Here is a 17208-nt window from a genome sequence, read left to right on the forward strand (position 1 = left end):
TCTCTTGGCTTTTGGAGTATTGCTCTTTATATTCCAGCATCATCCTTCTTATTTTCAAATTATTGCTCTGATGTATGGTTTTTTTAATACACAAAGCTTGAAGCTTATATTGTAGTACCATTTTCTATCCTATAGAAAAAGGCATATTTTGAATGGAACAGATATATCATAGACCCAACTACAGAGTTGGTGGTTACTAAACTATCAGCAAGTCTTGTAGCAAAAACCTTCAAAACTTTGTTGGAGCAAGGTGCTTATAGGTTAACACACTCTGTTGCCTTTTCACCCTCTAACAGTGTTCATCACAATGTTCTCCACATTTGATAACGATATTCACTACAAAAGGAACTATAATCTGTCACTCTGCATGTTATAATATATAAACGGTAGAATGACTGCCTAGATTACATTTACTGCTCACATTGTGCATCTTTGGGCTTTAACTTTTCTCAACCTTATTTCTTCAATATAAAAACAGACCTAAAAATAATACCTACTTCAGAGACTCCTTGTGAGCCTTAAATAAGGTAATTTGCATAAAACACTTAGTCTAGTGGCATTTAGTGAGTGTTCAATAATTGTTAAGTATTTTTTTCATTAGATTCACTGAGCTTATGTTGCCTTCCAAAAAGCAATAGTGAAATGGTTCAGGGACTGGAAGTAGGTCACTGTGTATCCTTTCCTTAAATCAAGCTAGCTGTACTTCCCAGGAAGATCCACATGGAATAGCCTTTCCACTAAGAGAACCAGCTAGAGTTTCAAGCATAATTCAAGCTGTATATTTTTGGATCTCCCTGAATATATTTAGAGCCCGCAGACCGTCAGATTATAAAGTGCCTTATTTCATCAAAGAGTATTCCTTTCTATTGGTTTTCCTATTATTTAACTCAATTTGGTATAAATACTAACAGCAATTAAAACACAACTTCAAAAAGGGGCCTCCCTCCCTAATAGAAACAGTAAAAACTACTGTGGTTTGCTGATAAAAATAAAGTAGACTCTGACTAGGCATGGTGGCTCACACCTGTAATGCCAGCACTTTGGGAGGCAGAGGTGGACGGATCACCTGAGGTCAGGAGTTTAAGACCAGCCTGGCCAACATGGTGAAACCCCATCTCTGCTAAAAATACAAAAATTAGCTGGGCATGGTGGCATATGCCTGTAATCCCAACTACTCGGGAGGGTGAGGCAGGAGAATTGCTTGAACCGGGAGGTGGAGGTTGCAGTGAGCTGAGATTGCACCACTGCTCTCCAGCCTGGGCAACAGAGTGAGACTCCATCTCAAAAAAAAAAAAAAAAAAAAAAAAAAAGGAGAAGAAAAGAAAAGAAAGAAAGAAGAGAGAAAAGTAGAATCTACCTGCATTAAATAGAAATGTCCTCCATATATTATGTGCTTTGTCAAGATGTGTGCATTGACAACAATTGTTAAGTCCCTTATCAGTAGCCTTGTTAGCCCTACCACTGCTAACAAGTTAAACATTTCAGTGACATTAGTAGGGCAACATGGGCACTAGGAAATGGAAGGAGAAAGGTAGGCCCAACATATAGAGATTCTGAATATTTTTTTCTAGTGCTTTGAAATTTGAAACTATACAAATCACCTGTCTGCTTCTATTTCAAATAGCATTTAGCCTTCTTCACCTTGCAATACCATGAAACAAATGAATGTTGGATGGATATTTGTATGGAATTCTAGTCATTAATTTAAAATAAAATAGAAGAAATAGGACTTTTGCTGATAAAATGTAGTTGGAATGATGGGCCGTACATTGGATGCACATCCAGAGAGTATTTTTTTTTTTAACTCTATTCATCTAATCTAAAAGCCACAGTAGCCAGGACAGGATTTTCCACCTGGCCATTGGGGAAATGGAATTTATTACAAATCAGCTGTACAAAAATAGATTTGTGTGTTTCTGACAGTGTTAACGTTTTTATTTACATGACAATATTAGTGCTTTGATTGACATGAATCTACGTGAATCTTCAAGTTGTGTCTCTTTGTTTATCCAGCAATACGTATCTAAAAACGTCATCTCCAGTGAGCATATTGTTGAGAGAGAAGCAGAGACATCCTTTTCCACCAGTCACTATACTTCCACAGCCCATCACTCCACTACTGTCACCCAGACTCCTAGCCACAGGTATGAGAATTTAAAAATTCCACGGCTTTTCTCTCAGAATGAATTGTTGCACATTGCCTTTTGATATCCCTGCCTAAGAAAGGAGGCAGTGAAATGGATGGTCTTTGGGCAGCAACAGATTTTGAAAATCAACTGGCTTTGCCCTTAATTCCTGCATAAATTTGAACCTCAATTAGGTAACTCCACAGGGCCGTTGTTTCCCATTCCTGAGATTGTCTTTACTCATGCCCTGCTACTCACCGAATTGCTACACTGGGACAAGTCTGTCTTTGGCTCTGCAAAATACTTAGAAGTCAATTTCTTTCAGTAATTGGATTGCCCTGGGAAATGCACATGAGAATTGGTTAAATAGTGGAACCCTAAATTCTCAAATGCCCTGGTGATCCCCACCTGAGTGCACTTACTCTACCAAGACCAACACTAGATCTCCAAATGTAGCTCATACAAGGAAATGTTTCTTTAATCTAAGCCACTCAAGAACAGAGAGATTATAATTATATACTGAGGAGTGGCATTCGAAAATATTTATTGAATGAGTGGACAAGTGAATATACTGTATCCTTACAAAGCCAATCTGAATCAAGATCCTCTCTATAGCAAATTACCTTTGTGGCGATTCTATTCGGAGACAAGTGATGTTACAGTGAGCTCCGGGTGCATCAGTAGTTTGAAACATTTGTCAGAATCCATTCCTTTCATTTCCATTTTTTTGCATATAATTTTTGCACGAAATATCTGATTGTCTCTCCCATTTCCTCCGCAGCTGGAGCAACGGACACACTGAAAGCATCCTTTCCGAAAGCCACTCTGTAATCGTGATGTCATCCGTAGAAAACAGTAGGCACAGCAGCCCAACTGGGGGCCCAAGAGGACGTCTTAATGGCACAGGAGGCCCTCGTGAATGTAACAGCTTCCTCAGGCATGCCAGAGAAACCCCTGATTCCTACCGAGACTCTCCTCATAGTGAAAGGTAAAACCGAAGGGCAAAGCTACTGCAGAGGAGAAACTCAGTCAGAGAATCCCTGTGAGCACCTGCGGTCTCACCTCAGGAAATCTACTCTAATCAGAATAAGGGGCGGCAGTTACCTGTTCTAGGAGTGCTCCTAGTTGATGAAGTCATCTCTTTGTTTGACGGAACTTATTTCTTCTGAGCTTCTCTCGTCGTCCCAGTGACTGACAGGCAACAGACTCTTAAAGAGCTGGGATGCTTTGATGCGGAAGGTGCAGCACATGGAGTTTCCAGCTCTGGCCATGGGCTCAGACCCACTCGGGGTCTCAGTGTCCTCAGTTGTAACATTAGAGAGATGGCATCAATGCTTGATAAGGACCCTTCTATAATTCCAATTGCCAGTTATCCAAACTCTGATTCGGTGGTCGAGCTGGCCTCGTGTTCTTATCTGCTAACCCTGTCTTACCTTCCAGCCTCAGTTAAGTCAAATCAAGGGCTATGTCATTGCTGAATGTCATGGGGGGCAACTGCTTGCCCTCCACCCTATAGTATCTATTTTATGAAATTCCAAGAAGGGATGAATAAATAAATCTCTTGGATGCTGCGTCTGGCAGTCTTCACGGGTGGTTTTCAAAGCAGATACTGCCTTCAAGATGGCCCTTTATTCCAGAATGTTTTGGCTTTCCTTTGGGGAGATTGGGTTGGGTTGGGGGAGTTATAGCAAAGGTAAAATGAAGAATGGAGGAAAGTAAACAAAGAGATATTAAATAGTAATATTGAATTCATAGATTCTCTTTCTCCATTTTCACCTGAGCTGGAAGATGACCAGTATTTCTAGCCCATCAGTAAGCTGTTACCTGTTCCTATTTGTTTGCAAGTCTGCTGGGTTTTACTTTATTTTATTGTCATCTCAGGCTAATCTTTGACCATTTACTAAAAGGTTTACATAATGTCAAATCCATACTTATGTGGTAGTTACATGGGAGGAGATGACTTTGATAGAGTCTTTCCACTCTTGGACTGGGAAGTTACTTCCAATAAAATAACACATTCTGGGCTTGAAGGCCTGTTGCTTACTTTTGCAAGGGCCTTTCCTTCAAAATGATATTTTAGAACTTTGTGGAATTTATGAAATCAGAGGTAAGCTATTACCTGTTTGTTTGCAAGTCCGCTGAATTTTATTTTATTTTATTTTATTTTATTTTATTTTATTTTATTTTATTTTATTGTCATCTTAGTCTAATCCTTGACCATTTACTAAAAGGTTTACATAATGTCAAATTCATACTTGTGTGGTAGTTCCATGGGTAGGGATGACTTTCATAGACTCTTCCCACTCATGGACTGGGGAGTACTTACAATAAAAAATGACAGGCTGGGCACGGTGGCTCACGCCTCTAATCCCAGCACTTTGGGAGGCTGAGGTGGGTAGATCACGAGGTCAGGAGATCAAGACCATCCTGGCCAACATGGTGAAACCCCATCTCTACTAAAAATACAAAAATTAGCTGGGTATGGTGGTGCTGCCCTGTAGTCCCAGCTACTAGGGAGGCTGAGGCAGGAGAATTGCTTGAACCCAGGAGGTGGAGGCTGCAGTGAGCTGAGATGGTGCCACTGTACTCCAGCCTAGGCAACAGAGCAAGACTCCGCCTCAAAAAAAAAAAAAAAAAAAAAACATTCTGGACTTGCAAGCCTGTTGGTTACTTCTTCAAGGGCCTTTCCCCAAAAATGATATTTTAGAACGTTATGGAATTTATGAAATCAGAGGTTTCCCTGCAACCAATCTATGAAAAAGTAGGCAGGGTTTAAACTGTTTTAAAACTTTAGTCTTAAATTCATATTTTTTTAATGTATTAAGGAAGTCTATCCATTCTGTTTCAATCGTTTTTTGAAACATGAAAAGGAAGTTAGAGATGAAATCATTCTTCATCACTACAAGTGATATTTATCCTTAAATGTTGACATTTCCCCACTGTGCTGGGCTTCTAGATGATATCTAGGACTACGAAATATTCCTGAACCTAGAGATTATGGAGAGAAAAGATGAATCACTTTTATATGTTGGTTGAATTTAAATTAGCATTTCTCAGAGAGCTTAATTTAAGTACCCCCAAAGCCAAAAGTTTGAAGGCTCAAGGCCCACATATTTCAATTTCTCAGGCACGTTCCCAGTTTAGAGGCAGCTAGCTCTCACGTCTGTATCACTGTGACTCCGGGAGAAGCAGGGAGGTTCATACGTTTTCCGTTCCTGTTAGCAAGAGTTCAGATGATGGCATTCCATGTCATTTCAGGTCACGTCAAATTAGACTCTGTGAATGCCAGTGTGAAGAAAAGAGTCATTTAGTGTTGTGCGTTGGTAACATTTTTTATCAAAAGCTGAGAAATGTGACTCTGAATAAGCCACGTCTTCCTCAGTGCCAAAAGTCAGGACTTCTTATACTGGGGGAAGAAAGCATGGTGTGGTGAAAACAGTGTGCTCGGTGGCCTAATGGCAAGAGTCACTGAGCATTATCAGACATAACATGATAGAAGGTAACAGGGTACAGCCAACCCTTGAGGCATCATGAAAGAGATTGACCAAAGACTGATATAGCTGTGGGTTTTGGAAGAGAGATAGACCAAAGATTGGACATAACCTCCATTGTGGTAACTGTGAAGCCAAATTAGGTTCTCTCAGGCTTACCTTTGACTGTGTTTGTTGGACACTGGGATGGATAGTTCCAAATTGAATGTTAACTAGTTGCATTTCATGGAAAAAATGAAAAGCACACAAATGTATGACACTGTTGTCAGGAATAAATCTAAGTTACTATGCTCTTTTTTTTTCATAAGACATAACCTTATAGCTGAGCTAAGGAGAAACAAGGCACACAGATCCAAATGCATGCAGATCCAGCTATCAGCAACTCATCTTAGATCTTCTTCCATTCCCCATTTGGGCTTCATTCTCTAAGACCCCTTGGCCTTTAGGAAGGTATAGTATTTAAGTAATACTTCTTTCCCTTCCGAATCCCTGAGCCTTGGTCCTTATATAAGCTGAGAGGTTTCCAGGACCTAATGCCTTCTTGTCTTGGCTCATATGCCATTATTTATAATTGTGATGAGATTGAAAATCCCAAAAGCTTTGATGAGCTAGGCAATTTAGCTGATCTTTGCATGCACTCCTGTGAGGAAACTCTTGGCTACCTAATTTTCGATTCCAAGGGTGTGGAATTTCCTAGCCTAAATAATTAAGCAGCCTACAATGAATAGAAATTCTCTGTTCTCTGATGATATAATACCGTGAACTCTGTCCCCTTACCTTCCCTGCTATGTGCCTCTTATTGCACCACACTTATGCAGGGTATTCTGTGCTCACACAGGTATGTGTCAGCCATGACCACCCCGGCTCGTATGTCACCTGTAGATTTCCACACGCCAAGCTCCCCCAAATCGCCCCCTTCGGAAATGTCTCCACCCGTGTCCAGCATGACGGTGTCCATGCCTTCCATGGCGGTCAGCCCCTTCATGGAAGAAGAGAGACCTCTACTTCTCGTGACACCACCAAGGCTGCGGGAGAAGAAGTTTGACCATCACCCTCAGCAGTTCAGCTCCTTCCACCACAACCCCGCGCATGACAGTAACAGCCTCCCTGCTAGCCCCTTGAGGATAGTGGAGGATGAGGAGTATGAAACGACCCAAGAGTACGAGCCAGCCCAAGAGCCTGTTAAGAAACTCGCCAATAGCCGGCGGGCCAAAAGAACCAAGCCCAATGGCCACATTGCTAACAGATTGGAAGTGGACAGCAACACAAGCTCCCAGAGCAGTAACTCAGAGAGTGAAACAGAAGATGAAAGAGTAGGTGAAGATACGCCTTTCCTGGGCATACAGAACCCCCTGGCAGCCAGTCTTGAGGCAACACCTGCCTTCCGCCTGGCTGACAGCAGGACTAACCCAGCAGGCCGCTTCTCGACACAGGAAGAAATCCAGGCCAGGCTGTCTAGTGTAATTGCTAACCAAGACCCTATTGCTGTATAAAACCTAAATAAACACATAGATTCACCTGTAAAACTTTATTTTATATAATAAAGTATTCCACCTTAAATTAAACAATTTATTTTATTTTAGCAGTTCTGCAAATAGAAAACAGGAAAAAAACTTTTATAAATTAAATATATGTATGTAAAAATGTGTTATGTGCCATATGTAGCAATTTTTTACAGTATTTCAAAACGAGAAAGATATCAATGGTGCCTTTATGTTATGTTATGTCGAGAGCAAGTTTTGTACAGTTACAGTGATTGCTTTTCCACAGTATTTCTGCAAAACCTCTCATAGATTCAGTTTTTGCTGGCTTCTTGTGCATTGCATTATGATGTTGACTGGATGTATGATTTGCAAGACTTGCAACTGTCCCTCTGTTTGCTTGTAGTAGCACCCGATCAGTATGTCTTGTAATGGCACATCCATCCAGATATGCCTCTCTTGTGTATGAAGTTTTCTTTGCTTTCAGAATATGAAATGAGTTGTGTCTACTCTGCCAGCCAAAGGTTTGCCTCATTGGGCTCTGAGATAATAGTAGATCCAACAGCATGCTACTATTAAATACAGCAAGAAACTGCATTAAGTAATGTTAAATATTAGGAAGAAAGTAATACTGTGATTTAAAAAAAACTATATTATTAATCAGAAGACAGCTTGCTCTTACTAAAAGGAGCTCTCATTTACTTTATTTGATTTTATTTTTCTTGACAAAAAGCAACAGTTTTAGGGATAGCTTAGAAAATGGGTTCTGGCTTGCTATCAGGGTAAATCTAACACCTTACAAGAGGACTGAGTGTCACTTTCTCTCTGGGGGAATGATCCAGCAGCTTATCTAGTTGACAATCAAAACACGGCTGATAAAGGTGCAATCATTTCTGACATGTATTTTTCACTGATTTTGAAGCTAGTGATTGGTTGTGTCTTCTTGGCTCAAAAAGAAGCATATTACGGCACAAAAAGCCCAGCCCAGACAGCACATGCAGCATTTTGTCTGAAATACTTCTAGAGTCAAACGTGCCTGCTGTACATAGCGATGACTTGTCATCATAGGGAAGTATTTCCATCGTAGAGTGTTCAGAAGGAGTGACTGTATAGGTGGAGAGAAGCTTAGTGACTCCGTTGAAATTTTAAAATGTGGATGACCACCCCTTTCTCCCCCTTATTTTTCTTTTATCTTTCCATGTTGCCTTGATCAGGTCATAACTATGCATGAACATTTTTTATCAGGAATGGCCGATGTGTATGTGATTTGTAATCACAAGTAATGATTCATCAGGAAATGTCAATCCTGTTGGAAAGATTGCACCTTTACTTGCAGAAGTGACCCCCACCTGTGTCCTGACCTCTCCATTTACAGGCTCTCTCACCCATTTCCCCCACCTCCTTTAATTTTTGCTTTACTGTCATAAAGTAGGACTAAGATTGGTCTAAGCATTGCATGTTCTTTTGTGATGGTAAATCCAAAGGAAGGCCTATAAGTATTAACATTTGAAATAACTGCTAATTCAGGAAAATGGAAGAAAAAAAATTATTTGAAACACAGAACCCATTTCATGGCCTGCCTGATATCTGTGAAATCAGGGCTGGAGCTTTACTTAGGATTCACATGGCCTCCTAGGAACCATGGGACAAATGGGAAACAGGTTATCGGGGGATTCATGAAGTCAGTGAGAGTAATTGCTTCTTTTTTGCGGGTGAACTGAATGTATTTCTTCACCAAATCTTGATGTTAACAATTAAAAAGAAGAAATGACATGCAAGTAGGTCTTAGCAGAAAAATGCAGGCTGGGCATGAGTCATGTTGTTACCCTCCCACATGCTCCTACAATCCACAGAGATGCCTGTCTGCAGGTTCTTGAAGTTATTGTTAGTATTTGGTATCTCAAATTTTTCGTCACTGTTCACATGCCACTTTCTCTGTGCACAGTGGTATCCTCATTTGCTTTTTAACCTACACTGAGGAGTCTTTGTCAGGTTGCACTGATTTTCCAATTCTGCAGTAATGAGTAAGCTCACGGCATGGGGAAGAAGACAGTCAGTCCAATGAAGTTCTCTAAATTATTTTAACATTGCCTTTGAAGGCCTTGACTCATCCTTAGCTATTTCAATGAAGAAATTCCTACCATGAATTTAAAACCCTAAAAATTCTGTTTCAAATTCTTTGGGCATTGGGGTACTCAGATATCCCATTGTGGAAGAATTTTAAGAATAAATAGAAGTTTCTGTTGAGAACCATGAGCAACATGTTTCTTACAATGAGAATTGCTATGCATTTTAAAATTGCAAATATATATGAAAATTGAAGACAAGAGGAAATTGTATTTCTAACTTGATTCTGATCACTCACAGAGGTGGCATATTATTATAGTTGGGACATCCTTTGCACCCTTCATAAAAAAGGCCAGCTGACTGCTCAGCATCACCTGCCAAGGCCACTAGATTTGTGTTTACAGGGGTATCTCTGTGATGCTTGTCACATCACTCTTGACCACCTCTGTTAATAAATTCCGACAGTGCAGTGGCGATCGGAGTGTGAACTTATGTTCCCAGCATATGGAAAGCTATCTTAGGTTTTAAGGTAGTAGAAATTGCCCAGGAGTTTGACAGCAACTTTGTTTCCCGGGTCTAAAATCGTATCCCACTGAGGTGTATGCAGTGGAGCATAATACATGCAAATACATGCAAAACTCCTTTTGTTTCACCTAAGATTCACTTTCTATCTTACTTTCCCTTCCTGCCTAGTGTGACTTTTGCCCCCAAGAGTGCCTGGACAGCATTCTAGTTTCTACAAAATGGTCCTCTGTGTAGGTGAATGTGTCCCAAACCTGCTATCACTTTCTTGTTTCAGTGTGACTGTCTTGTTAGAGGTGAAGTTTATCCAGGGTAACTTGCTCACTAACTATTCCTTTTTATGGCCTGGGGTTAAAGGGCGCATGGCTCACACTGGTGAAAATAAGGAAGGCCTGGTCTTATCTTGTATTAATAATACTGGCTGCATTCCACCAGCCAGAGATTTCTATCTGCGAAGACCTATGAAACACTGAAGAGAAATGTAGGCAGAAGGAAATGGCCACATATCACAAGTTCTATTATATATTCTTTTGTAAATACATATTGTATATTACTTGGATGTTTTCTTATATCATTTACTGTCTTTTTGAGTTAATGTCAGTTTTTACTCTCTCAACTTACTATGTAACATTGTAAATAACATAATGTCCTTTATTATTTATATTTAAGCATCTAACATATAGAGTTGTTTTCATATAAGTTTAAGATAAATGTCAAAAATATATGTTCTTTTGTTTTTCTTTGCTTTAAAATTATGTATCTTTTCCTTTTCTTTTTTTTAAGAATAATTTATTGTTCAGGAGAAAGAATGTATATGTAACTGAAACTATCTGAAGAATGCACATTGAAGGCCGTGAGGTACTGATAAACTAAAGAATTTATTATTCAAAATACTAAGCAATAAGTAATTGTGATTTATTTAAAGTTTTGTCCATTTTCCATGAAAGACATACTGCAATAAAAATGCTACTCTGTGGAGACCTGGGAGTGTTGCTCAGCAGACTACAGCTTCAGTCTGTTAGACCAGCACCTTTCATCTCATTCCCATAGTTATGCTAATTTAGGATTGTGTTCCATGGACCCCATGATCACCTTGTCTATACGTTGCTTCTTGTCTGTCCATTGCTTTTGCCACACCACCTGTTCTCAAATCATCTCCTCCCTACCAATGCTGTTTATCACTTTCTTCCTTGTTGAAGAGGCCACACAACCAGACAGTACTATGCTTCCTTTTTCCTCCATACACAATAACAGAGAGAGAATATTCTAGGGCATGACTGCCTGGATCCTGGCTGTTGCTATCTTTTGTAGTGGCAGTAAGAAACTCCTTCAGACTAATGAAAATGTCAACGTGCCATTCAATCACGAAAGGTAACGAAAAATGCTCTCATGGTTCAAATAGTCCAATGGCCCATAGTGGCCTAAAAGGCAGCCAGTTGACACCTGGCCATGCTAAGCTTCCTTATACCATCCGCTAATGACTTTCCATTGGGCCCACAATTTACGGATTCATAATTTTAAAAGAGGAGAAGGCCAAGTTAGGTTCATTCCCCTTATTCTGTCAATAAAACAAATCAAACTCATGTCTATCTAACTGCTCAGGGAGGAGCCTTTGCATGAGAAAATTCTCATATTCTAAGACTGAGTCATAGAAATGAGGGTATTACTTTTCTTACTGCAATTAACCTAAACAAAAGCCATATTTTAACAAATAGATATTTGCATGGTACCCTTCATATATTCCAAGCATTTCACTCATTATTCCAGGTAGGTTAAGAGCTTCTGAAGTGTATGAAGTAAAGGTCAGCAATCCTTTGGGGTGAACAGTGGCCTCCTTTGGAGTTTGGGGGTAACCTGAGACTTCCCACCAATGTCCACCTCCATCTGTGTACCTAATTCCTATTACCTAGTTATGGCTCCTCTAGGATCATTTCCAAACACTCTGGATGTCCAGGAAATTTAAATTGTAGCTTTTGACTGAGCTAGTTTTTCCTATTTATATTAATAAATTTTCAAAAATGCTTGAAATCTTCACATTTGCAACAACTTTAGTTTTCATGCACATACAAACACAGAGAGACAAAAATTCCAAACAGACACTCTCCAAAAGCCACCACACTCTTTCACTTGCTCTATAGTCATTTAGCCAACCAGCCATGCAGAGAATATTTAAAACTTAAAGATTGAGACATTATTCTCAGTTTTTGCTGAGGCTTTGTAACGAAATTGAACACTATAAGCAGCTATTGTAGTAATTTTGGTTAAAATTGTTTGCCTGGGATATAGTATTTGAGGCAGAAGCACGTGTGTGAAGGAGGTGAGGTGGTTTGGAAAGAGTGAAGACTCGCAGCCAGATTGAATGTCTGGATAATTACTATAATTCTCCCTTCTTGGTTGAAACCATGTTCTCTCTTGATTTTTAAACCCAGGCTGCCTCTGGAAACAAGCAAACCTGAGTCTTTCTAACCTGAGTCTTCCCAATCATTAGATTTCTTTTCTGTCCTAACGATGAATGATAAAAGGACTTGATGTTCACAATTTGGGGTTATAAGGCAGGTCTGAAATCTGGAGACTCAAGATGCTGGAAGGAGTGGAAAGTTTCGATGACTTTATATGAATCACTTTGCACTCTATGTTTGGCTTGTCCTCTTTGAAACTGATTTACTAAAATAAATGTAAGGGAACTATTACTCCAAAAGATTAACTTGGCAGGAAATACCAATACTTTCAGTTTATGAAAGACAAAACTGTCTTGTTGCTACAGGAAGCTGCAATGTTCCTAACCTTTAAGGTTGGTGTTGAATAGGGTGGTCATGCCCTCCCCTGCAGGTATCTTTAGGCTCCTGTTGACCTCCTGGTACTATAACTGTTCGTCTTCTCTGGGTAGCTATTGATTTTGAACTTTAACATGCTTCAAAACTTTATTCATCAGGGAAATAGGAAAAGAGTTTTGTTACCTGGAGGAAATCTATTGTGATCTACCTGAGCTTTTTAAAAACAGACCAGGAGAAGGAAACCAGTAATTTTTAAAGAAGAGACAGAGAATGGGATAATAGTTTCACCCAGGATCTCTTTCTAACCCTTTCCCTTCAAATGAACTTATTGGAACAGAATTGGAAAGAAGAAAGGACATCTCTGCCCACCCCACAGGATGCCAAAAAGGCTAAAGAATTACCTCTGTAGATTTAAACATCTTTAATGGCTTATGTATAGATTTGCTAATACAGAGAGAAATGAACTATTAAATAAAAATCACATTTTATAATATTTTTATGGCTTAAAACATCCTTTATCTCCTTTTTGTTCTCTCTACATGATATGGTAAGTGATGAGGAAAATTTAGGCTCAGGAAGGTTAAAATCTTTCTTGGAGTTACACATCTAAGAGAGCTGCAGAGCTGACACTTGTACCCAGGTTTTCTGACTGCAAATCCAGTTTCTTTCTATTGCGTTCTTCCCCTTTCCCTGCCTCAAGCAGAAACAGGTTTTTTATTTTCAACCTTTATGTATACAGTATGTTATGTTACATCTACAGCTAAGTTTCTTTTTAGAAGAATGTGAGCCCTTCTAGCTTTGGTTTAGAGTGATTCTAGAAGCCAATTTCCTTGGCTTAGTGATTCTATGCACCTTTCCTAAACTTAGCTTTCTAAGGAAATGAAGTGTACGAGTGAGAATGAATTCACAATTTCGACATGTAGGTAGCATCCTAAAGTGAAAAGAGGAGGAAATTTGTGGTCAAAGCACTCTCCCCACCACTTAGAAACTTACTGACTGTGGGCAGCTTCCTCCTCCAAGTTTCCTTCCTGATTTACAAGACCGTGGTGTGGTCAGGATTAAACTTGAATACATGTAAGGAAGCCTGAAAGTGTCTAACACATAGCGAGTATTCAAATGCCACCTTCTATTTGATCCTTCCCCTCCAGTTCCTTAAGTTTTGGAATCTAGGTTTCTCAGTTCCAAATGGATTGACATTTGCATATCCCCATTGCACAATGGATCAAATAAACTTTATGTTATCATTTCTCCAACATAGTGCCAGTAAGCAAATCCTTTTTAATAACAACAGTATGTTGAGAAACATATCACCAAATAATATTTAACTTTGTAGCTTTGATAAGTTCTTTAGGTTTTGGTTTTGGTTTTGTTTTCTGAGACAGGGTCTTGATCTGTCACCCAGACTGGAGTGCAATGGTTCAATTTTAGCTCACTGCAACCTGTAACTCCTGAGCTCAAGTGATCCTCCCACCTCAGCCTCTCAAGTAGCTGGGACTACAGGTGTGCTCCACCATGCCCAGCGATTTTTTTTTTTTTTTTTTTTTTTTTTTTTGGTAGGGACAAGGTCTCGCTATGTTGCCCAGGCTGGTCTTCAATTCCTGGCCTTAAGTGATCCTCCTGCCTCGGCCTCCCAAAGTGCTGGAATTACAGGCATGAGCCACCACCCATAACTTTATGTTTGTTTTTTTGATGCAGTATAAGTTCAGCTTGCTTCTTATGCAGCCATACCATTTCATGTTAACTCTGATTTTTAGCAGCTTATTACATTAGTGTTTTATTATTAATATAATTTTACAGAAATTTACTAAACCATGACTCTGTAGAGTTTTAATAATACTACCTCCAAACATCATTGCAAACATCTAGAAGAATGAACAAAAATGATCTTAGATCGACAGTATATCTGTTTGTCTTAGTTTCTACACAGGATGTTCAGACATATTCCATTTCTTTAAAAAAAAAATATATATATATATATATATATATAGGCCTGGCACGGTGGCTCATGACTGTAATCCCAGCACTTTGGGAGGCTTAGGCAGGCAAATCACCTGAGGTCAGGAGTTTGAGACTGGCCTGACCAACATGGTGAAACCTCGTCTCTATTAAAATTACAAAAATTAGCCGGGCGTGGTGGCACATGCCTGTAATCCCAGCTACTCGGGAGGCTGAGGCAGGAGAATCACTTGAACCTGGGAGGCAGAGGTTGCAGTGAGTTGAGATCACGCCATTGCACTCCAGCCTTGGTGACAAGAGTGAAACTCCGTCTCAAAAAAAAAAAAAATATGTATATATATATATATATATATATATATATATATATATATATATATATAAAATCCCACCAAAAGTCTGCAGAGTGACCAAATTAGACGGCTCTGGTTTCAGATTAAATTCTAAATGTGAGAAACCACATAGCTCCCATGATCCATCCAATAATTCCTCACGTCCTCTTCACTCTTTACTCCATGCATAAAACAGAATTTTTTTTTCTCATCCTGGGTATGAAGCAATTAATAATTTACGGATTTAGCCTATTTGGATTCAATCCCTTCAAACTCCATACTACATCCAAGGTGGAAGTGACTTAAACTCTGATATCAATCATCAGGCTTGTAATATAGGCTTTGTTAATGGCAGGAGAGTCTAATAAAACTTTCTGTTCCTTATCCTTCATTTAAATGAAAAACTTTTTATTGAAAACAATCATAACTCTAGCTCATCATAAATATAATTCATGAGGACATTTTATTATTTTTATATTAAAGAAATAATATTATAGATGTAAACTTTGCACCTTTCTAATTATTATCATGAGTTAAGCTAATACTTGTCTTCTGGTCCCTAGATGATGATTCTTTTTTGCCTTACTGGAGGAGCCCTTGTCTTGAAGTGAGTTGCTTCAACAGCAGAGGACTTCTAGTTTCTCCCAGTTGAGCCTAAAGTGAACTTTTCATCTTCTTCAGAGGAAGGGGCTTCCTTGATTTGTACTTTTGTGGCTCCTCAGATAACACAGACAATTTTATCTTGGATCCCAGGTTCTCTTCACCATTAAGAATAAGAAAGAGAGAAAATGCTGTGCATGACAGCCACCTACTCCAAACTACCCAACCCCCTGTAACCAGGTACCTTCCAACAACGAGATGATTCTGCCCTCACTCAAGAGTCTCCCCCACAAAGATTCCATTCTCCCTTTACTTTTTATTTTTTATTTTTTTGCAAAACAAAGGCCTCCTTTAGTACCTCCTTAGTTTATAACCCTTATCTTCCCAGCTCTTCCCTTCACTGATACCTCTGATTTCAAAAGTTCTGAAGTCGGAAGACCACACAATTTCAGACTGTGAACAGAAATTCAGTCAGAAATTATTGGAGTTAGAAAGAATTTAGAGAAATTGTATTGAACTAGAAAGTCCTCTTTGATTAGTGGTGGCCCTTTAGAAAGTTCTAGGGCAGAGTCCCATGGTGTTTCATCTTTTCCATGATTTGCTTGACCAAAAACTTTTCTTTCACAACATGAAAATATGCTAATCCACCACACATTTTGGATTCTGCTCTGTTTGCCTGAGGTGTTAGATCTCTAGCCAGGACTGTGAAGGGAAGGAACTTGAATCCTTCCTATTGAGCTATTAATGCAGAGTCAGTGAGATGAAGGGTTCCACTCGGGGTCAAAATCATGTCAGTTACCAAGCAAAGGAGCAAGTAAGGGGAAACATCTCCTCATCTGGTTAGTGGAGCCACATTTCACCCACTGATCAAGCCAGACCTGAGCAATAGTCTAGATTTCTCCCTCCACATCTAATTGGTGACAATGGTGATTGTACCACTGACAGGTCACACAAGTCCACACCCTCCTTCACAGCCTCACTGCTTCGGCTCTTGTTTATGCTCTTATCAGCATCTGTCACTAGGATCCATTTGTCTCCTGACTCATCTACTTCCTTTCACTCCCCTGGGCCATCCTTCACATCATGCTAGAAGACTGTGTCTAACTTGCAGAACTTATTGTGTCAATCTCCTGGTTACGGCCCCTCCATGGCTCCCCACCTGACATAGGAGGCCCTTCACAATCTGGCTTCTGTCACTCATAACTTGTCTCCAGCCTTCATTCTTCAGTCTGATTTTATGGTTTTCTAGTTCCCCAATACACCACACCAGTGTTTATGAAACCCTAGTCATTGGCCTACGAACTTTATGATTATTGACATATTCATGTACCACCTGTATTATTTTTTGCATAGTGTTTATTTTTAATTGACTACATTTTTAACTACAATAAAGTAATTTCAACTAAAACTTGGTATCAATGCTGCGAATGGAAAACTGCTATCAGTTGCCATAATAAAAATGAAACTGTAAAAATAAATATAATAAAAATGAAACAAAGTTATTAAGTTCTAACCAGATACTGTTGCCTGCTCAAAGGTCTGAGCAATAAGCCTGTTCTCTGTTTGACACAAAGGGAGTTCAGAAAGTGTTAGAGAGATAGAAAATATTTTGGGGAAGCACAGAAAGATTTATTCCCTGAGTTAGCCAGGATTGAGAGGGAGTTGATAGAGCAGTTACTTCTATGGTTTTGTTCAATGTTATTTAATGCTTGATCCTAGAATCATCCTGCATACAACATTCAGTCATCCACATATCTCAGGAAGCACAATATTGTGCTTGCTACATATCCCTGCCCTTGTTCTGTTTTACTGGAACTCCCTTCTCCATTCGTCCTCCTGACAAACTTCTTTCGCCCTCTCTC

At 39.4% G+C, this 17208-nt stretch overlaps 1 protein-coding gene across 21 annotated transcripts in view, besides 1 other annotated feature; it reads left to right on the plus strand.

The window, feature by feature from the left end:
- NRG1 (neuregulin 1) overlaps nt 1–16754 on the plus strand; it is a 1134802-nt gene extending 1118048 nt beyond the window's left edge. For 13 of the 21 annotated variants that reach the window (NM_001159999.3, NM_001159995.3, NM_001322201.2 and 10 more), the window contains 3 exons: nt 2014–2144; nt 2908–3114; nt 6456–16754. In NM_001159999.3, the coding sequence (NP_001153471.1) occupies nt 2014–2144; nt 2908–3114; nt 6456–7110 (993 nt within the window). In that variant the 3' untranslated portion in view covers nt 7111–16754. Of the gene's footprint in view, nt 1–2013; nt 2145–2907; nt 4730–5925; nt 6068–6455 lie in introns of those variants that run through there. The other 8 variants (NM_013960.5, NM_001160004.3, NM_001322206.2 and 5 more) reach the window with 3 other exon arrangements.
- Nucleotides 2369–3568: an enhancer, noted in NCBI's record as "BRD4-independent group 4 enhancer chr8:32617179-32618378 (GRCh37/hg19 assembly coordinates)". NCBI's record gives its function as "activates an origin of replication core promoter dependent on BRD2, P300/CBP, MED14 and CDK7 cofactors, and independent of BRD4, by STARR-seq in HCT116 cells {active_cell/tissue: HCT116}" and the evidence as "EXISTENCE:reporter gene assay evidence [ECO:0000049][PMID:35650434]".

The sequence above is a fragment of the Homo sapiens genome, chromosome 8 (genome assembly GCF_000001405.40).
Source record: "Homo sapiens chromosome 8, GRCh38.p14 Primary Assembly".
In the NCBI taxonomy this organism is placed as follows: Eukaryota; Metazoa; Chordata; class Mammalia; order Primates; family Hominidae; genus Homo; species Homo sapiens.